The sequence below is a fragment of the Homo sapiens genome, chromosome 9 (assembly GCF_000001405.40).
Source record: "Homo sapiens chromosome 9, GRCh38.p14 Primary Assembly".
Lineage (NCBI taxonomy): Eukaryota > Metazoa > Chordata > Mammalia > Primates > Hominidae > Homo > Homo sapiens.
The window spans coordinates 5,545,498-5,567,800 of NC_000009.12; the positions used below are offsets into that span (position 1 = coordinate 5,545,498).

The 22,303-nt window shown below is 41.2% G+C and overlaps 1 protein-coding gene and 1 long non-coding RNA gene across 3 annotated transcripts in view, besides 1 other annotated feature; one reads left to right on the forward strand and one right to left on the reverse strand.

Annotated features, from left to right (window-relative positions):
* Window positions 1–22,303, reverse strand: part of INCR1 (interferon stimulated noncoding RNA 1) — a 172,297-nt gene that overhangs the window by 88,067 nt on the left and 61,927 nt on the right. The gene's annotated exons all lie outside the window — the stretch shown is intronic.
* PDCD1LG2 (programmed cell death 1 ligand 2) overlaps window positions 1–22,303 on the forward strand; it is a 60,752-nt gene that overhangs the window by 34,967 nt on the left and 3,482 nt on the right. The window contains exons 4-6 of one of the 2 annotated variants that reach the window (XM_005251600.4): window positions 3,838–4,107; window positions 12,121–12,255; window positions 17,665–17,718. In XM_005251600.4, coding sequence (XP_005251657.1) covers window positions 3,838–4,107; window positions 12,121–12,255; window positions 17,665–17,718 — 459 coding nt within the window. The remainder of the gene's footprint in view (window positions 1–3,837; window positions 4,108–12,120; window positions 12,256–17,664; window positions 17,719–22,303) is intronic. The other variant, NM_025239.4, reaches the window with a different exon arrangement.
* Window positions 17,667–17,766: a silencer, noted in NCBI's record as "silent region_19753". NCBI's record gives its function as "represses an Ori minimal core promoter by ATAC-STARR-seq in GM12878 lymphoblastoid cells {active_cell/tissue: GM12878}" and the evidence as "EXISTENCE:reporter gene assay evidence [ECO:0000049][PMID:35858748]".

Sequence of the window (22,303 nt, forward strand, 5' to 3'; positions counted from 1 at the left end):
AGTTTACTAATATCAGAAGAAAAATATTACTAAAGATAACAAGGGACACTTCATAATGATAAAAGAGTGAGTTCTAAAGGAACACATAACAATCCTAAATGTGTGTCCATTTAACAGTATAGCTTCAAAATATTAAACAACAATTGGCAGACTTAGGAGAACCAGTCAAATCCACAATTACATTTGAGATTTCAACTCATCTCTATTACAACTGATAGAACAAACAATTAAGAAAATAGAAAATCTGAACAACACAATTAGCCATCTTGACCTAATAGACATATGATATATAGAACATACACCCAGCAACTACAGAACACACATTGTTTTCAAGCGTATGTGGAACAATCATCAAAGCAATTATCTAGGAGAATTGCTGTAGAAGGTGTTTTTCATTGAGCAATAAGTCAGATGACTTGAATTTTTGGAGTACTTCCGCCTCTTAAATTCTAAAATTTACTCATCTTTTCCTAAGAATATCACCCTCAGTCCAGCTTCCCCACTGTGGGAAGCGATTCCTTTTCCACCACCTTCCAAATAAGAAAGAGGCTGTGGAGACATTTCTGATACTGCAAAAATGTAGGATGTGGGCTCCTGTCCCTTCCCCAAACCTTGCTGATTCTTGTAGTGGAAGAGCTCTCTCTCTGTCTCCCTATCTGCTCCCTCATGTATCCCAAGTCAAAGCCTCAGCCAAGCTCCCAATTCCTGGCATCCCTACTTCTGAAATCACTTCTCAACCAGGACACCAAGATCAGTTTCTTGGTCCAAGCCACCTGCAATAGTGGGCTGGACCCTCACCCACAGTACTCTGCTCCTGTTCTTGTTCTACTTCATTCCCCAAAAGACTTGAGAGCTTACAGAAATAATCTACAGTATGATCATATAAAATGATTACAAAAGACATTGAACCAAGGGAAAATAAGTGTAGATAAATAATACAAAATGAGAGATAAAGTGAGTACTCGAAATACACACTTCGGGTACTGTTTGATTATGAAAGATAGGCCAAAGTTTTGGCTTCAAGGAGATTGGTGAGTCTAACAGGTCAAGTCCTTCAGTAGGCTGCTTCAGTGTCTGAATTGCCTTATCTTCTACTACTGCTGGGTGCTCCTAAGAACCTCAGAGCATATTCCTCTATCTGCTTATGTTGCACCATCCCTAGACATCTGCAATTACACAGAGACACATCCTCTTATGGTGATTCCAATTAAGAATGCATTACAAAATAGTAATATGAATTTTACCCACCTCATAGGGTCTGCATATCATTTAAATGACATAATGTATTATATGTATTATGTATATTTATACATTAGGGGGAAAGATGTCAGAGCTTTTTGGGACATACCAGGAGGCCCAGCTGGGTGTGCTGACCACATGGAGACGAGAACTTCAAGGGAGAGCCAAAGTGCACGCAGGTTCTGGTGGATGTTTCATTGTGCAGTGACCCTGCTCTCTAGTGAACCCAGATCTAGTGGGTGTTGTTTGCTATAATGAATCAAATTGTCAACTCTTAACATTGAGACCCACAACACAGGAGGGGAACAGAGGGGCAAAAATTGTGAAGAACGGCATGAACATTCCTTCTCTTCCATAGGATGTAAAAGGACGTGGCACAAAGCTCAACACATAGAAAACAATAAGTAAATCATACACATCAGATGGTTTTCACATGGTTGTTACCATTATTTTAATGTGAAATTGTTTTTCACAAAGTTTGTACCTATTTATACTTCCAACAATTTAGGAGAAAAAAGTTGTATCACACCTCTGCCTTTACTTCAAGACTACACTTACTTCAAAAATTGTATTGAAATTTAATTTCTTAAAAGAATATTTCCTACCGAATGGAAGCCAGTGCTCATCCCCTCTTCCTCTCACCAAATATCAACAGGTGACTTTCCACACTGCCTGGTAACTGCATATGGTATTGATATTTGTTTATTTTTAGCTATTATCTAAGACCACTGGAAGGTTTGTTCTTGTGTCTTCTAGTCTCTTGGAATATCATGCCTATTTTACTTATTTTTAAAGTTTTTATAAGGTTGTAATGTTTTATTTTAATTTTAAAATTTATTTTTAACTGGCAATAATGTATATTTATGGGGTACAATATGATGTTTTGATCTATGTATAGATTATAGAAAGAGTCAATCAAGCCGGGCACAGTGGCTCATGCCTGTAATCCCAGCACTTTGGGAGGCCAAGGCAGGTGGATCACCTGAGGTCAGGAGTTCAAAACCAGGCTGACCAACATGGTGAAACCCCATCTCTACTGAAAATAGAAAAAATTAGCCAGGCATGGTGGCAGGTGCCTGCAATCCCAGCTACTCAGGAAGCTGAGGCAGGAGAATTGCTTGAACCTGGGAGGTGGAGGTTGCAGTGAGCCGAGATCACGCTGTTGCACTCCAGCCTGGGTGACGAGCGAAACTCTGTCTCAAAAAAAAAAAAAAAAAAAAAGAATAAATCAAACTAGTTAACATATCACATCACCAAGTTGTTTTTTTGTGGTCTTTATTTTTTTCTCTTCTTAATCTCAAAACAGAGAATGTAAAAAATTCATGCTTTTAGCAAATTTGAATACAGAATGCATTAACTGTGGTCATCACACATGGCAATAGATCACTAAAACATTTCCTCTACTCTGAGACTGAGCAACATCTTCCACATCCCCAGCCTCTGATAACCACCTTTCTACTCTGTTTCTATGGGATCTACTTTTTTAGATTTCACAAATAAATGAGATCATACATTATCTGTCTTTTTGTGCCTGGCTTACTTAACTTAGCATAATACCCTTCAGTTCCATCCATGTTGTCATGAATGACAGATTTTACTTCTTTCTAAGGGCTGTAAGTATTCCATTGTGTATATATACCACATTTTCTTTATTCATTCTCTGTTGATGGACATTTAGTTTGGTTCCACATCTTGGTTATTGTGAATCATGCTGAAATGAATAAAGGAATACAGATATCTCTTCAACATACTAAATTCAATTCCTTTGGATATATACCCAGAAGTAGGACTGCTGGATCATGTGGTCATTCTATTTTTAGTTTTTTGAGGACCTCTATACTATTTTCCAAAATGACTATACTTAGATCTCAGCTTTCTTGAGGCAGGGAGCCATATCTGTTTAATTCACTCAGCATATACTGCAAAGAAGCAGGTGTGTGTATGAACTGTGTGTGTTTGTGTGTATGTATCTGCATGTGTTAGGGAGAAGTGCAGAATAAATATACCCAACTCTTTACTATGTATAGACATTATCTAGGTCTTTATTTTTTTTCTCTTCTTAATCTCAAAGAAAACAGAGGAAAGGAGGAAGTAAAAAGTAAATTTTTGCCTGAAGATGTTTGGAAAAAATACCAAATAAAGTGAGATAGTGGGTAATCTAGTGATTTTTATTTTTCCGTCCTCTTTCTGGCCTCCAATTGTGAAATAATTTATAGCACTGTAAGAAAGAAGCCACAAATTGTGGTAGCTTGGACCACTGTTGAGGTCTGGAATCAGAATTCCAATGTTCAAATATTGGTCCTACCAGTTATAAGCTCTATGACTATGAACAAAACACTCAACTTCTCTATCTTCAGTAACCGTCCACAAGAATTGGGAATATCAACAATGCCATCTTTATTGCATTGTAAGAATTAAATAATTCAATATATGTGGAAAATAGCATGATATCAGGGATATACAATGTGTTTACAAATGATAACCATTATTACTTAATATTGATAGTGATAATTTTATTCATTTCACATGGCATGAAGTACCAAGCTCTATAGGAATCAGAAAATAAAGTCTTATTTCTTTTTCTTCTCTATTGTCCAGCTTCCTACAGGAAAATAAACACTCACATCCTAAAGGTTCCAGAAACAGATGAGGTAGAGCTCACCTGCCAGGCTACAGGTTATCCTCTGGCAGAAGTATCCTGGCCAAACGTCAGCGTTCCTGCCAACACCAGCCACTCCAGGACCCCTGAAGGCCTCTACCAGGTCACCAGTGTTCTGCGCCTAAAGCCACCCCCTGGCAGAAACTTCAGCTGTGTGTTCTGGAATACTCACGTGAGGGAACTTACTTTGGCCAGCATTGACCTTCAAAGTAAGAGCTGCCCCCACTTCCTAGGTCTATCAGTTAGGGTTCAGACAAGAAACAGATGGCATACTCGAGTGATTTGAGGAGAGTGTAATAAAGGGACTGTTTACAAAGGTGTGATCACCATTTGGAGAAACTACAAAGGATAGTGCAGAACACTGGGGCTTCAATGTTGGGAGGGCAATTACCACTGTTGGAGAAGTTACTGGAATCAGAAGGGAGCTGTAGGGAAAGCCCCACTTCCCAGGAGCTGTAGCCACAGAATAGGGAAGCTGCCACATGCAGCGACTCCAAAGGGTGGAAACTGGATGAATGAATACCCCAACTCATTCTCCTCCCACCCTCCAATCTCCTGCTAGCACCTCCCATTGGCTGAACCCAGCTAGAAGTCAGAGAATACAAGGGTCCACTGTTGTATTCCATAAAAGTCAACTTCTCAGGGCTCAGAGCAATATTGACATGTACAGAATAGATCTGGAGAGGAAACAGAAAATATCTAGTACAATAGCTAATCACTGTGATTCATGCACAGTGTCATGAGCCAGCAGGATGAATATTCCTTTGCTGTACTTGCTGCCAGTCAGCTGGTTATGGGTTTTTCCAAGAAATTTGGTCTCTAACAAAATTCTTCAGAGCCTTTACTGACTATGCTGGATATTTTTGGAAGGGATCCCATACTTTTGAACTTCATACAGCAGAATTTCAAACAATCTTGGGAAAATAACAACTTTTATCTGCCCAGTAAGGACAACTAACACCTAGTATCATAATCATTTCGTAAGAGACAGGTAATTTCATCACCGAGTGCATATGTTTTCTAATGCTCTTATATCAAATTACCACAAGCTTCACAGTTTAAGACAACACAGATTTATTATCTGATACTTATGGAGGTCAGAAAGCCAGACTTGAGTTTCACTGGGCTCAAATCAAGGTGTCAGCAGGATTGCAGAGGCCCTAAGGGAAGATTCCACTTTCCTGTCTTTTCCAGCTGCTAGAGGCCACCTGCATTAATTGCCTCATGGCCCCTCCCTCTATCTTCAGAGGCAGCAACCCTATCATTCAGCCTTCTGCTTCTGTCACCACATCTCTCTCTCTCTCTTTTTTTTTTTTGAGATGAAGTCTTATTCTGCCCCCCAGGCTGGAATGCAGTGGCACGATCCCGGCTCACTGCAACCCCTGCCTCCCGGGTTCAAGCTATTCTCCTGTCTCAGCCTCCTGAGTAGCTGGGATTACAGGCACATGCCAACATGCCTGGCTAATTTTTGTATTTTTAGTAGAGATGGGTTTCACCATGTTGGCCAGGCTGGTCTCAAACTCCTGACCTCAGGTGATCCGCCCGCCTCAGCCTCCCAAATTGCTAGGATTACAGGCGTGAGCCATCATGATCAGCCACATCTCTTTCCCTAACTAGCTTGCTTCTCTTTGCCACCTCTTAAGGACCCTTGTGATTGCATTAGGTACTCCATCCCCCTGGTTATTTGGGGTGATCTTCCCATCTCAAGGTCCATCTTCAAAATTCCTTTTGCCATGTAAGGTGACATATTCACATGTTCCAGGGATTAGAATATGGACATCTTTGGGGAGAGCCATAATTTTATTTATCCTACTGAGAAGGGATATACTCTCAGACTAAAGGACAGTCCCTAGTACTGATTCAATCTGGCTTTATAGAAAATTCACTATATTGTCATTGTATTTCACAGTTTGCCCTTTGTCTTAGCTGGTAAGACAGAGCCTATGATAAGGACTTGTGTGGCATGCAGGTATTTAATTGGCAACCCCAGAGGGCAGAAGCAAGAGATTTAGGAGTTTAAGAGAGGGTAATATAAGAGTATATTATCAAAGTTGTAGTGTGGACAACAGAAACTCAAATATTCAAGGACCAGCATGTAGACAGCCTCCTAAGATGTCTACTCAGACAAAGAATTTCAGGTGGAAGGACTTGTTCATCTGCTTCACGCCCATTGGTTGACAGGAATATGAACTCCATTCTGCTGCTGGGCTAGACATGCATGTGGGCTGAGTGAGCTTTCCCCAGTATCCGTAGCATCAGAAAAGTCGCAGGGCAGAAAGAAAAGTATCCAATTTGAGGTGAATTACTGACCTTGAAGTGAGTGTAAGCCTAACTAGAATTCTACCCCAGCTGGCTGAAGTGAAAGGTGAGGCTGAGAGGAAATAAGGCAGGACTGCACAGTCCCCAATTGTACTGTTCAAATCCACTCATGCCCTTCATTAAGTCAGCTCTGCCACTGAGCCTTCCAGCTGGGAGGCAGCCACAATCTCTGCAGAAGATTTAATATACACCAGTTTGTGGAACAAGCTGTAGTTCCTGCTGCTGCTGTGGATCCCAAGCCACAGTTGATATTTGTTGTCTCACTCATCCACCATACATTCCAGATTTCCCTCACCTAACACCCCAGATGGAATGGTTTCTTTGCCTGATAGGGTGACCCAGACTTAACGACCCTAAGAGATCTGAGCTTTTGATCAGCATGCCCTTAACAGACTGGGGTTGTTGCAAATATCTTTTCATTATCACTGGATATGGAAGTAAAAAGAACCAGTGAATCAGCGGACCCCTGAGTTCCAGACATACTCTTCCTTGTCTCCATTATGTAGCAGTGTTCAAGATTTTCATGATAATCAAGATTGATTTCTCCACCAGTATGGTAATTTTTTTCTTTGCTCACTGGTCTGCCAATATTAAGAGCTCAAGGTGGCCAGGCCAGTAGCAGAGCTTTAGATGCAGTAGAACAAGCAGAGTATCCCCTGCTAGAATTCCCCGTAGGAAGCCAGACCTTTGATTCAGCAGAGCCTAAATGTGTGGGGTTGAGTGAACTTCTATACGTGAGTCATTAGAAGTAATGGTGAGAGGGGCCAACCTGCAGCACTGGGATAGCCCTGGTACAGACGTAGAACATGCTTGAGGAGGTTGTCAGGAGGAAATGAGTTAGACCTTGCACAGAACTACCACCATCAAGTACAGTTGGGGTGAGGCAGACATGGTATGAGTTGAGGCATCAGAGATATCTGATGCTTTATGCCAAATTAAAATTAATTTTTTCATGGAGTGACACTGATCCACAGACCAGACTCCAAGAACTTTGCAGTGACTAAATACCCATCTCATCATAACTTTCCTGGTATTTTCTTCTGGAAAAAATTCTTCCCTGATACAGTTTTCAGAGGCAGCTAGATGCACTGTCATCTCTCCCCTTTTCCCACTTCCCTACCTATCCACAATTTACTACCCAATGCCAACACTAAAGTTAGCCCAACTTCCTTCTAACTAAATTATTAGTTTAGAAGGAAAGAGAGGAGTCATGCTAAGGATCTTAACTGAAATCAAAACATTAGAGGCTGGGCATGGTGGTTCTTGTCTGTAATCCCAGCACTTTGGGAGGCCAAGGCAGGAGGATCACTTGAGCCCAGTAGATTGAGGTTACAGTGAGCTACAATTGTGCCATTGTACTCCACTCCAGCCTGGGCAACCGAGTGAGACTCTGTCTCCAAAAAAGAAAAGGAAAGGGGAGAGGAGGGGAGAGGAGGTAGGGAGGGGAAAGAAAGAAACTAGAAATCCATCAATTTTAGGACCAACTTCAGGTAAAAAAATGAATTAGGCAAGTTGGTCTTTCAACATTCTCTACCTCTCTTTATATCATGGTTGAGACCACAGACTTCTCACCTCATGAAAGATGAACTCTAACTAATTCATACTAAAGCTAAAGCCTCTAAAGAGGATTAAATATGAGCAATCCCACGAGAACTTTTTTCCCCTGGAATTGTTTATTCAACTGTCGTTCGTTATATGGAATTTCCTGCCTGGTTAAGTGTAGGCCAGTACTTTGGATGAATTGTAGTTTTCTAGAAAGACGCTTCTTATATAAGAACCTCTCCAGGGAAACAGGGGCCTGTATGAGATGAATTGAGAAATAACTTTACACCACTGATTATGTCAGTGTTCTATTCTGCATGGTAGAGATGTGAAAGGGCAGACTGACCATTGCTCTGGAAGCCTTTACGCTGTGAGAAGTTAACAGTGGAGTAAAATGGCCACTCCACTCTCTTCATGGAAGCCAACATGGCTTACTAAATAGTCAACAACCATGGGAGAGACCTGTGGGGTCTTCATCAGAGCTCAGGATCTCCTAGGGTATCACTCATAAATACAGCCATCAGGGAGATGGAGAAATCTTTGTGCAGCCAGAAATTCTCAACCTGGTTTTACCCATCCTTCCCAACTTTGTATTCGTCCTACTGTTTACTGACATGGATCCTCTGCTTCATTAACCATCCCTTCCTCACCACATGCTCTCTGAACTTGGCTGCACCTTTTCTACCTCCATGCCTTCTTTGCTCAGGTTTTTCCACATAAATATCATTATTTCCCTCTCTACTAGCTCCAAGCCCACCCTCTCTCTGGGGCAGCTCAGTCACTCCAGGGCACAAGGGGGTCTTTCCCTCATCCCACATTTTGAGACCTACTACCTGGACCATTTGTTTGCCTTGTAACTATGCTTGCCTTTTTAATTGCTATTTTATTTTCCATGTATTTTCATTGTTCACACAAGTCTTCTTTATTCCACACTAAGGCAAAAGCAGAGTCCTGTGTTCATAATAAGTGCTCAACAAATGTTGGGTTGATTGGGTTGGAGATTCCATCTTAGATAATCGCAGTCCCATCATGCCAGCTACCAGACTGTGTGGACAGCCAGGTCAGAGCAGCCAAATGATATTCTAGCTTGTGGCACAAATACCAGCAACAAAATAACCAAAGTCACACATCTGCCTCTGAGTTCCTGGCTTCTATTTCTCAAGGGCATTTTTAAGTTGTCTTATGACTGTTCCCTTTCTACTCATTCTCATAAATTGAGCTGTGGACTGCTGTGACCCACAAGCTTCTCCGGAAGTCAATGTATAAAACAAACACGGAAACGAAGAGTATGGTGGGTGGAGGGTACTCCACTGACTCTAGAATGGATGACTGAACATTCCAAATTTCAAGCACAAGTTAGGGAGCAACAGATCATTTTCCTTTTGAAATAGGGTTTCTTCTGCTCAGCCAGTTGTTGTATTTTCATTAGGAAATGGAATGGGACTACAGCACAAAAAATAAATATAAAAGGACCCTTGTAGGGCTGGCAGAAAAGAGAATCCTTCCTAGGAGACCTGGAGGTGATTCCAGGCAGTGGTTGAGAGCATGGGCTCTGATGTCAGACAGGCTTAAATTTCAAACTCTCTCTCTATTAGCTTTGAGAACCTAAATATCCTACTTAGCCACTCTAGCACTCAGTCTCTCATGTGTAGCATGAGGGTGAGTAGTGGTAGACAGTTTATAGGGTTATAGTGAGGATTAAATGAAATGTGCTTATAAAGTGCTTAGTACTCAGAAAGTGTGCAAACAGTAAAAAAAAATGGTATATCTAGCAAGTTGCATGCCTTACTTGTGAGTTCATGAAGTTGTGGCAAGGATAAGACAAATATTTTTTGCCATTGCATCATTATATCATTGCTAAGAGTATGCCATTATTGGCCAGGTGCGGTGGCTCATGCCTGTAATCCTAGCACTTTGGGAGGCTGAGATGGGTGGATTGCTTGAGGCCAGGAGTTCAAAAATCAGCCTGGCTAACATGGTGAAACCCCGTCTCTACTAAAAATACAAAAAATTAGCCAGGCATGGTGGCAGGTGCCTGTAATCCCAGCTACTCAAGAGGCCGAGGCAGGAGAATCACTTGAACCCAGGAGGCGGAGGTTGCAGTGAGCCAAGATCATGCCACTGCACTCCAGCCTGGGCAACAAGAGGGAAACTCCTTCTCAAATAAATAAATTAATTAATTAAATTAAAGAAACGACAAAAGAGTATGCAAGAATTTTAAAACAACTTAGAGGAATATGTATGAGGATACAGGCTAAGCTACCATAATGAAGAGACCTCGAAATACAGTGAGAAGCGAGACAGAAGTATCTTTCGTTCCATGTAACACTCAGGTGGTTCAGAGCAGCTAAGCAGCTATGTTCCATAGAGTCATTCAGTGATCCAGATTATTTTCATCTGTTGCTCTGCCATTCTCCAGGATGTTGTCCCTATAAAATTGTCAAAGCTCAGTCAGTGCCAAACCCATGTTTCAACCTTCAGAAAGTAAACGAGTGGTGGAAAACACATTCAATGTTTTAAGGCCAAGACCTTGAAAACTCACTCTCTTAGCCTGAACTTAGATTACATGGCTGGGCCCACTTAACTATAGGGGAGGCTTGGAAACATAGTCTCTGAGAAGCCATGTGTCCAGCTAATTCCCTAATACTAAAGTTGAAAGAAAGAATGGATTAACCAGCAGTATACCACAAGGTAACAAATGACTAGGAGGATCAGGCTAGGTGGACTAGAAAAGAGACAGTCAATTCAGTGCAACAATTCCATATTGGCACTTTTCATGTAGCTGTTGCTTGGCTCTATCTAGAGAGGACTCAGAGGTAGTTTAGATAAGGCCTTTGCCCTCCAAATACAGTCTAAGCAGACTGATTTCCTACTGGATGTTCAACTTTGGAGTCTTCAGGGATGAGTAGGGCTTCTGTACGTGGAAGAGACTATGAGGGAACCTGCACAGGACAAGGGTTTGCATAAAGACACTGAGGTAGGGACCTCTCCTGTTGTGGGGACAGTGAGAGGCCCAGGTCTCCTTGACTCACAAAGTGCTTACTAAGCACTTACTAGAAATTAAGAAGCAGATTATAATCAATATGGGTTATCCAATGTTTGGATGAGCAAGGCTCCTTATCTTTTCTTCGTTAATGTTAATCACACTCTTTTGGATGGAGACAAATATCTGTGGGGGCTGAGCTTTGGGTCAGATAGATCTGGGTTTGCAATCCTGGCATTGACTTTTACTTAGCAGTGATGACCTCACATAGATTATTTAGCAACTCTGAGACTTACTTCCTCAACTCTAAAATGAGGGGCTCAGACTAAATAATGTCTAATCTCTTCTCCAGTAAAACAATCCGTGGTTCTCAGATAGCACTGTGCTGGAGGTAGTGGGGTTTGAGGGCTGGGAAGTTGGGAGGACTGAGCCCTTCCCGCTGAGCAGTTTCGTCCAGTTTTTCCTGTACCAGCCTGTCATGTTTATTCCATGTGAATGACTCCAGAGGCAAAATTCAAGCTTTTGAATAGGGCACAAATTAACTTGAGTACCCTTTCATTTCCCTGTAGGTGAACACTCCTCTAGCCCTGCCTTTTGTCAGTCTGGAGCCCTTGTTCTAATCTGTACACACCAGAGGACTTTACAAGGCTTTCCCCAGCCTCCAGAATTATTCTTCTGATCCACCCTCTACTAAACTCACCCTTTCCTCAGTGCTAGGACGTTGAAAAACCGAAACAAGGCAAAGGGCCAATTGTAATAATTCACACTAAGGCATGAGTGACTAGGTTTAGTATATTAACACTACCTAGGATATTCTATTTCTTCCAAAAGGATCCTGTTAATCCTTGAAATTTAACAACTAATGGTATAGATTCTAAGCACTGTGAGTACTTGTCAGTGGGGGAAAGACATTTTTGGGCTGAGAGACTTTGCCACTGGGAAGAGAGAGAGGATGAGGAGGAGAAGGGGGATAGGGAGGAAAAAGAGAAAAAAGAAAGAAAGATGATTAGATGATAGATGGATGGATTGATGGATGGATGGAAAAAAATAACATGAGAGAGTGGTAAAAAGCACAGAATCTGGAACCAGACTGTATCTTAGCTGGGTCACTTACTATGTAACTTAGGGAAAGCTTCCTAGTCTCTCTGTGCCTCCCTTTCTTCACCAGTGAAATGGGGATCATAGCAGAGCCAACTTCACAGAGTGGTTGCGAGGAGTGGATGAGCTGATAGGTGCAGAGCACTTAGAATAGGGCCTGGTGTGGAGTAAATGCTCCACAGAGCTAGCCGTGTTGGCTGTCACCCACTCATGTGGCCAGCCTGTTGGTCTACCTCTTAGTTGCCATGTAACAGGATTCTGGTGCTTTTCCTTTGCCCAGGTCAGATGGAACCCAGGACCCATCCAACTTGGCTGCTTCACATTTTCATCCCCTTCTGCATCATTGCTTTCATTTTCATAGCCACAGTGATAGCCCTAAGAAAACAACTCTGTCAAAAGCTGTATTCTTCAAAAGGTAAGTGAGTTTTATTCATGGTAACCCAATGCACTGGGTGTCTGCAGCATGAGCCACTGCTTTGCACTGCAGGCCTATGGCTTGCTGCTTTCATGCTAAACCCACTCAGAGCTTATGAACCACTTTGAGCTTGTCTTGATGATTATTTTTCCCCAGAAGAAAATGGCTCTCATCGTCAGTGAGCTGAACTTCTTACACTGAGTTTTTTAAAGGGAATGTTTTGTTCTTATGTCTGAAAGAGTTTGTCTTATTCTTTGAGCCAAGAGCTTTCATCAGCCTCATGAGAGTGATGTTATTTTGGCAATGCAGAGAGCTACGTGCTCCGATTTTGCTGGTGGGAGGTTGCCAGGATCCTTTCTGAGGATTCCTTCCATTTTCACCCCTCTTTTCCCCAGTCTGGATATGACCTGGGTTAAACCCACCCCCTCTCCCAGGAATCTCAACCTCACGGTTGGGTAAGGAAAGGAGAAAGGTTTGTGAGGCCATTTGGGGATAAGGAAACAGCTGGTTGGTGGTGCATTAACGTCTTTCAGCAGCTCCCTTCGAGTTTCTCCTTAGCCTGTTGTATTCTTACCAACACACTCCTGTTCTGTTGTACCAGCTGGGACAGAGCATGCTGAAGCCTTTCAGCCCTGATTTCATTGCTTCATTGTTCATGTGTCTGTCTTTGGTTTCCTGGGTGGAGCCTGCCCACAAAACCCCCAGAATGTATGCAGGCCTAGCTGGTGCTTTCCTAAACGGCTCCCTTGTCTGCACTCAATGAACTTCTCCAAAGATCTATACATGGCCTCATCTATAGAAAGAGAAATGACATGTGGAAATAATTCAGTAGGAGTTTGCAGCAGCACTATCTGAGGACTAGGGGAATTTTAAGTGGTTGTTATCTTACATTTATACTCATAACTTCTATATTTTCATCTGCCATAAAATATTGTCATGTTCTATTTGTCCATTGCCCTATGTGTGTATGTATTCACTTGGGTGCTGACCACAATATTTCTAACTGTAGAATGCAAGGAATTGTTGCCAAAAGAAAAAGACAGAGGGAGGGAAGAAGATGGCCAGGGGAGTGAGGGAGAAAGAGAAAACAGGAGATGGAGAAGAAGAAAGATAGAAAGAAAAATAAATGTGGGAGGGAAGGGAGCTTCATGGTAAAGGAGGAGGTATGTCCAACAGAACTTCGACTTTTAAATAGAACCACTTCAGAGAGTTGTGTCAGGTGCACCTCAGTTGTCTTATCTTCTGCCATTCTTCTTTTACCTCTCACACCCATACCTCAGGGTTCAAGGCCTGGGGCCTGAGGACTCCTTAATAACTTCAGAAATGAGCAGCTGAGTGTTCCGTTCCAGCTGTCTTTGGGAGAATGGAATGGAGTCACACTCAAAGATAGAGTGGAAATAAATCCTCTCCTCATCCTTCACCCCAATCTTAAGAGTGAGTGAGGATATCAGTAGCTCCGAGCTGGGAGGTAAAGCTCAAGTTCTAACTGTGATTAGGAGACCTTTCTTACAAATAAGAATTAAGTGAATAAATGTGCAAACAATTTCTTTTATATTTTTAATGAACCAGAGAGAAATCATGGTTGCCTATATAACCCTTGTCTCCAACTCACTTGCATTCAGATCTGCTTTCTTACATGTGTCTGCCATGCACACAAACTTGTGTGCCATGGAAAAGGGTTGAGAACTGCTGGTGATGCAGACAGAGCTTTAAACCAGGGTCAGAGGGCTAGGCTGGGACCTTGTGCTGCCATTTGTTGGCTTTCTGACCTTGTACAAATTGCCTATCTTCTTTGAGATGGTCTTTCTATCTGTAAAAGGGGAAGCAGCAAGAGAAGGAACATTTTACAGCTTATTGGCCGAACTTCACTGCCGCTAGTGTGGTTCAACTTGGACTACAGAGAAATCTTCCTAACTGGTTTCCCTGTATTCACTCCTGCTACCTCCAACTTGGTCTGTTCTCACTTTTTGCTATAATAGGCTTTTAAAAATCATAAATCTACCATGTGTCCTCTGTCCAGACCTTCTCCATGGCTTCTTATTGCTCACTGGATGAAGTTCCAACGAGCCCAGGATGGTTTGACTCATGTCTCCAGCTTTAACTGCATCACCATCACCTTCATTGTCTAAAGCTCTAACCACACAGGATTTTCTAGTCCTCAGAGGCATGGCAGTCTTTCAATTCCGAGTTTTCTCATACAATATTGTCTCTTCTTAAAATATTTTTTCTTGTTGTCCACCTGAGTTGGAGTCATCTTTTAAATCTCAGCTAAGCTTATACTTCATCAAGTCTTTCCTAATTCTACCTCCACGCACCACACCCATTACATTAAATCCCCTTATTATATGTTTCCATAGCACCTACTTCTTCTTTCAGTATACTCAGCACACAATCACATGTCTAGGATCTGTTTTAATAGCTTGGACTACCAATTAAATTGCATCCCTTTTAATTTTCCAATTGATTCCTCAAGTACCCACATGCCCATCTTAGCAAGAAGTTCAGTGTCTCCCTCTTATAGCATGTACTTCTCCACCTCCCACAAACTGCCAGAAAGCTTACTTAGCCCACAGGGCCAGTGCTAGGCAGCTAGGTTAGTCCTCCAGAGGGCCCTGGTTTTGAGCAGTTGCTGTCTACTCCGGCCATGCAGAATCTCTGGTCCTTCCAGATGTCTCCATCCACTGTGCAAAGGTAACCTTGCTGGTTCCGATCCCCACACAGACCACAGTGCTACAAGATTACAGTTCTTATGGTTCCCCAACACATGCTCTGTCATTGGTCCCAAAGCAGGACCCCTATGGGTTGATGAGGTAGGAGGAGGTCCCTGCCTTAGCCACAGCTGCACACAGCCAGCCTCTTCCCTTCTAGGCCCTCATGTTGAGCCTGGGACGCCAGTCCTAACTTCCTTCTCTTCAGTTCCTCTTAGGGCCATTGGTATCCTGAATTTCTTAGTCCATTGCAAAGTTAAGTAAAGAAGCAGCAGGCTTGGTCCCTTTCCTTCCAGATGGCTTCTTAGCTCCTGAACAGATTTACCCACCTATACCTCAGTGACTAGCTCTGTGTACTAAAGTGTATTGGGAGGGCAGCCATTATTGGTCCATAAAAGGTCCTGCTTACCATTTTCCCCTAAGAGGAACCATTCAACAGTTTGGGGCTCGAGGGTGACCTGCTGGGCTCTAGAGAAGAAGCTGGCAACTTCTGTTGCAAAATAATGTTAAATTCTGCTTCATCTGCTTGTCTTTACGTTTCAAGAATACAGTAACTGTGTTTCTCTGATTCACCAATATATGCCCAGTGTCTAAAAAATTACCTGGCATATAATAAATGTTCAATGAAATTTTAAACATTGAACCTACTATATGCAGGTGAGTATGCTAGATCTGCTCTGTCCAATATAATAGCCATCTGTGGCTCTTTTTAAGTTAAATAAAAATTCATCAGTCACATCTTAAGTATTCACACACTGTAAGTGCTCAATAGCCATGTACAGATAATTGCTCCTGTATTGGACAGTACAGATATACAACATTTCCATCATTGCAGAAAGTTCTACTGAAAACCACTGTGCTAGACCCTTTACAAACTTCTCATTTAATTTCACAAAAATTGCTTGTGGCAAGGAGAAGTGTCTTTATGCTGGAGTTAAGAAAGTGAGGCTCAGAAAAGTTATATGACTTCCCAAAGTCATACAGCTGGGATTTGAATACAGGTCTGTTTGACTCCAAAACTTGTGGCCTATTTGTTGCAAAAGTGCTTAATACAAATTGGTTCAGTCAATATTATTATCTTTGAACAATGGAAGGAGAAAGTAAGTTTCAATCCAAAATAATTGAGTGACTTATACATTGACTTGCTGAGCCAATGGCAAAGTCAAGTTAGAATCCAGCAGAAGTCACCAGCTACAGAATCTAGATCTTTAGAACATGTCTTCAGATCTTCAGAACAGTGTTTCTTAAACTCTCTTGTGAAGGAACAGTTATCATCATAGGCTGGTAACAGTTCACCTACCAGCACCAGCCCATGAACCAGACTCTAAGTGGCACAGCCCTAGAAGATTGAGCCAGAATTTTACAGAGGTTTAAAGACCAAATATGCTGGTTTATGGTTACCTGTGGCCCACAGAGAATGGCAGCACTAACCTCAGGCATAAATGAGGTACCCACTGAAGCCAACATTCAAGAGCAATTCCTATGGGTTAACCATTGGGCTCCTTTCAAATGCAAACCCTCATGAAAGAGACTACAGTGCTGAATAGAGACCTCCAAATTCCAGGCCAAGCTCAGGATAGTCATGAGGGAATTACTAAAAACCTGGTATATAGGGCAAAAGCAGAATTAGGAATGGACTGATTTCAGGAACCCAGGCAATGGCAGGAGTTGGGCATTAAATCCTAAAAGAGAATCAGAGTGGGAGGGAATATGTGAAATCAGAGGTTAAGAAAAAAGTGAAAACCTATTCATGATTGCAAAGATATGAAACCAACCTAAGATCCCATTGACGAATAAGTGGATAAAGAAAATGTGGTATATATACACCATGGAATACTACTCAGCCATGAAAAAGAATGAGATAATGTGTTTTGCAACAACTTGGATGGAACTGGAGGTCATTATTCCAAGTGAAGTAACTCAGGAATGGAAAACCAAATACCATATATTCTCACTTGTAAGTGGGAGCTAAGCTATGGATATGCAAAGGCATACAGAGTGGTATAATGGGCATGGGAGACTCAGAAGGAGAGAGTAGGGAGTGGCAGTGAGGAATAAAAAAGCTGCATATTGAGTTCAATGTACACTATTTGGGTGACGGGTGCACTAAAATTCAGACTTCACCAGTATACAATTCATCCATGTAACCAAAAACCACCTGTACCCCTAAACCTATTGATATAAAAAAAAAATTAAAAGAAAGATGTGAAATCAAGGAAACTTACTGGTGAGCAGCATCCCATTATGTGAACTTGTGCTTCTGAACCAGTAACTTGAGTTACTTTGAGCCAGTATCAGTCACTTATACCTTAGTGCAAAATTAATTGATCAGACATTCTGACCTGGACCAGGGAAGGCAGGCAGAAGTAGCAGTCAAGACTAAAGCAGAAAAGGGAGAGCTAATTCTGCAGCCAGACATTTCCTGGATTGAATACCCAAATTAGTCCCTCAGCCTTTAAGTGCCTGAGGGCCAGGAGTAGACAGAGGAATGGAAAGTGTGAGACTTCTTTGTTCACACTCTTTGCCTAGGGGCCAGATTTTGCTTTATGCATTACCATCCGAAGTCCCAGGCCACAGTGAACATTTGGGCTTCGCTATGTGGATTTATTTAGATTTACTTTTTGTCCTGCCATATTTTAATCTATAAGCCAAACAGTTTTCTCATTAATCTTATTCCATTTCTGGAATTTTTCCTTTTCAGACACAACAAAAAGACCTGTCACCACAACAAAGAGGGAAGTGAACAGTGCTGTGAGTAAGCATGATTTTTACTTTTCTTTCTTACTTTCTTTTCTCTCTCAGCTTGAATTTTAAAGTAACCACTGTTCTATTAATTCATGGAAGGCAACTGAATAGTTCCAGCTTATAGAATCTTCCTGTTTGGTAGCATTTCAGCGAAGCCTCGTTCTTAGCCCCAGAACAATCATGCCATCTTTTGCTCGGTCTATATTCCTAAGCACTCCTAGATGATACTGCACTGGACCTCTGGTCTCACATAGTTAGAAACAGAGTTAAAATCGAACAGCAAAGAGAAGATATTCAACTGCGATGCAATTGACAATGGATGTTTTTGCAACAAACAATGATTAAGAAGTACATTGTTGTGGGCTCTGAGTCAAGAGTAATATGGGAAAAACACAAGTCTCTTCATGAGGTTGACAGGTTTGGAGCTGGAATCTGTGGAGGAGGAAGGATATGATCTAGGGGTCAGAAGAAGTGGGTTACTAAAATCATTAAGCCTGGTTGGATGAAAAGCTTAGACTCAGGGGAAGCAGCACATGATTGTGGGGGCTGGCAAGTTTGAAATGTGTAGGGCAGGCCAGCAGTCTGGAAACCCAGGCAGGATTTCTACCTTACAGTCTTGAGGCAGAATTCCATCTTTTCTGGGAAACCTCAGTTTTTTGCTCTTAAGGCCCTCAACTGATTGAATGAAGCCAACCTACATCATGGGAGATAATCAGCTTTACTTCAAGTTAACTGATAGCAAATGATAATTACATCTACAAAATACTTTCACAGCAACATATAGACTAGCATTTGACTAAGCAACTGAGCACCATAGCCAAGATGACACATAAAATTAATCATCACAGGCACCAAGAGATGAGGGGGGCAGTCTTGGCCATATATTTGGCTGAAGTAAGTCAATTTGTCATTCCTGCATGAGCCTTTATAAACAGAAGTAAGTAACCAACTACTATTTGGTCATTGGAGTTGTCCAAGAGGCCAGGGTTCTGTCTAATACCTGTTCATGCATGAACATGCCAACCTAGATTGCATGCAGACTACCAGTTTTGGGTTTTTGTTTAGTTCAGCAGGATTTTTCTCAGCTCACTGCCTCTCAAACTTTCAGCAACAAAAGGACATCTGTGATATCAGAATCTACCACTCTAAGTATTTGGATGCAATAGCAATGAATATCTGAGTAAATCTAGGTGGGGAGTGGGGGCACCCTGTAGCCAAAATGATTTAACAAAATCAAACCAAAATTTTGGAAATGATGCCTTGGTACAATGAAGAGACTACTTGAGGTAGGTTTGACTTATCTAATATCTTATTTTCTTTACCAATACCTAATGAGGAATTTAAATATTTCTAGATAGCTTTGGAAAGGTCCCTTAAAGAGGCACCAGCATACCACTGCCAGATCTAATCCCCCCAAACACTGTTTTCATCATCATCATGTCATCTCTTGTCTCTATAGATCATATCAAATCCTTCCCAGAGTTTTTCAGGCCTTTTGACAACTAGCCACATTTCACTAAGCCAACTCATCTACCACTCTTCAACAAAACTTTTCCTCAAGTTGAGCTGCTCCACCAACACCACTGCCATGAGCTCATTCCCACTTCTGTGGCTTTGCTCATGTTGGTTATTTTTTTGGAGTGTCCTCCCTATTCCTTCTTACTTGTCCCAATCCCAACTTTTGGCATGGTCTACTTTAAGATACAGTAATGAGTAACTTTATTATTATAACACCAGGCTTCTGTTCTAAGACATTAGAAGTGTGTTTAGACTAGCTCATTTAATCCTCACAGTAGCCCTCTGAAGTACTTACTCCCTGCTTCCCATTTTATAGGTGAGGAAGAAAAACATGAAGAGGTTAACTAACTTGCCCAAGGTATATAGCTAATAATATAAGGGCCAATAAATTGATTCAGCAATCCAGGTGTCCAAGTCCAGAATCCACACCCATACACTACACTCTGCTTTTTTAAAATTTAATTCAATTTTTTTTTAGAGACAGAGTCTTGCTCTATCACCCAGGTTGGAGTGCAGTGGTATGACCGTGGCTCACTGCAGCCTCAACTTTTGGACTCAAGCTATCTTCCCACCTCAGCCTCCTGAGTAGCTGGGACTACAGGTGCATGCCACCGTACCTGGATTTTTTATTTTTATTTTTTGTAGAACTGGGGTCTCACTATGTTGCCCAGGATGGTCTCAAACTCCTCGGCTCAAGCAATCCTCCTGCCTTGGCCTCCCAAAGTGCTGGGATTCCAGGCGTAAGCCACTGTGCCCAGCCTACATACACAACACTCTCTTGCTTAATCTGTAAGACTCTCTCCCCCACTCATACCTTTTTATTTTTCCTCTGCATTGTACACACAATCTATACCACTCTTAAGCACATGATTACAGCGTTATTTTCTGGCTGCTTCTATGTGTCTATATTTTAGGTCCACCTGGTCAATATAATAAAGTGGGATATTAGTGTTAATGCAACTATATGGTATTTGATATTTGTCTTTCTGTCCGTTTATCAATGTTTCTTATAGTTTATTATATAATAAATTTAAAAGGTGTCTGATTTTGACCAAATTTGACTAAATACTAAAAAACAATATTAAAATAAATTTTGTTTAATTTTAGTTGAGTCTATCAACTCAAAAAAGAATAACGTACAACAATAACAAGTTTCAGAACATTTTTTAAATTACTGATTTTATGAGTATAAAAATAAAAAATAAAAAAGTATAAAGAAAACAAAAATAATTTAGAATCCATTGCCTAGAAATTGCCATGGTTAAGATTTTAATATTGCTCAGGCCCAGACAGCTCAGGGCTTTGACATTCCCACACCCATTCTCTGCCATCCCAGTTCTATCTCATCCCAAAACCATCCATTATGAGGAGAGTGTACAGCTCTAGGCTGCCCGGGAGCCATCCCGCACTCTCATTTTGTGACTCGGCATCTTGGGAGATGGAGTCTTGGGACTTAGCCTGGACATGTCCCTTGCATGTACTTCTTACAAGACTTTTATTCAGATGAATATTTTCCCTTCCAACTTAAGAAGCACAGGGCTTGCTGGTTTTGCTTCACTAACCAGCAACTGAAGCAAGACCTGACTTGTGAAAATGCCTAATAGAGTTCAGTATTAGCGCTGTTTCACCATTTCCTGGATCTCTTGCCTTTGTGCACATGATAGAATTGCACTTCTCTGTGATTAATTTGTAGTTAAGTGTGGTCATGTAACTCGCTTTGGTCAATTAAATGTAAGCATAAGTGATGCGTGTTATTTCTGGGTAGAAGATGTAAGAGTTGGCATATGCTTTGCCATATTTTCTTTATCCATCTGGCATGGTAACCAGTAACATTCTAGGTAGTAATTGCTCCATCAGTCTCAGTCTCTGAGTGACTAAAATTGACAGAGTCCCCTGCTGACCCTCAATGTACATGGAACATGAACAAGAATAAGCTTTTGTTTTTTATATTGAGATTTTGGAGTTGTTTGTTCCTACAGCATTACCTAGTTTACTCTAATACAACATGGAAAAAACTGGAACCTATAATAAATAGACCCTACGTTGCCATTTAAACTTCTAGTTCTGAGGAATAATAATGTGGGGAAATACTTTCTATATAATAAAAAAATAGAAAATTGCAAAATAAAAATATACTTATGTATCATTCATGTCCTATTAAAAATGTTATTTATAGACTCACCATATTCCCTTCCTCCAGAAAAACAGAAGTAAAAATATGAAAATGCCTGTAATCATGTTTTTGGATTATGGAATCAAGTATTGCTTTTTACTTTTATGTTTTCTGAATTTTTGTTGTACTTCACTACATTTTTGAGTGCCCTGATGTATTACTTTCAAAAAGAAGAAGAATACTTTCTGAAGCCATTTCAACCATCCCCACTCACCTCTCTAGATCCCAGTAACCAAATACATTATATAGGACTCTTCATCAGTCCTTATCAAGTTTAGGAAGGGCGATGCTATACCTTCTTTAAAGGACACCTACCAATGTCTTAGTTGCCTTTCAAAGACTCCTAGCACAGCTAAATGTGATGGATATGCTCTAAGGATATAAGAGCTGAAGTGACTTGCATAAGGTCATATCATAACTTACTGTTAGAAATGGAGCTAGAACTCAGACCCACTGAGTCCTTGTCTGTGACACACTGCCCTTTCCATTTGTGGAAGTTGTTCTTGTATCTAACTTTATCTGTGCTACTATTTGGGCCTAGCCATTCTCCCTCTTATGCAGACAAGCAGATAAACAGTAAAACTTTAGGAGTGGATTATGATACCATAGATATATATCATCTATCCTTTACAAAATAGTTATTACAGTCATCAAGCCTTGGTTAGAGTTTACAGACCATGTATCCTAGCTACCTCATTTCACAGATTATGACATTGGGGGCTAAGAGATATTAAGTGACTTCCTTAAGTGAAACAGTAGCAGACCAAAAGAAGTCATGATTCCCAGCATAGTGCTACTCACTCATTTATTCATTCATTCACCCACTCACAAACCTGTATTAAGTTTCTGTTATTTGCAAGACCCTGTCAGTTAGGCCATGTGGGAACTAGAAGGATGAATTTAT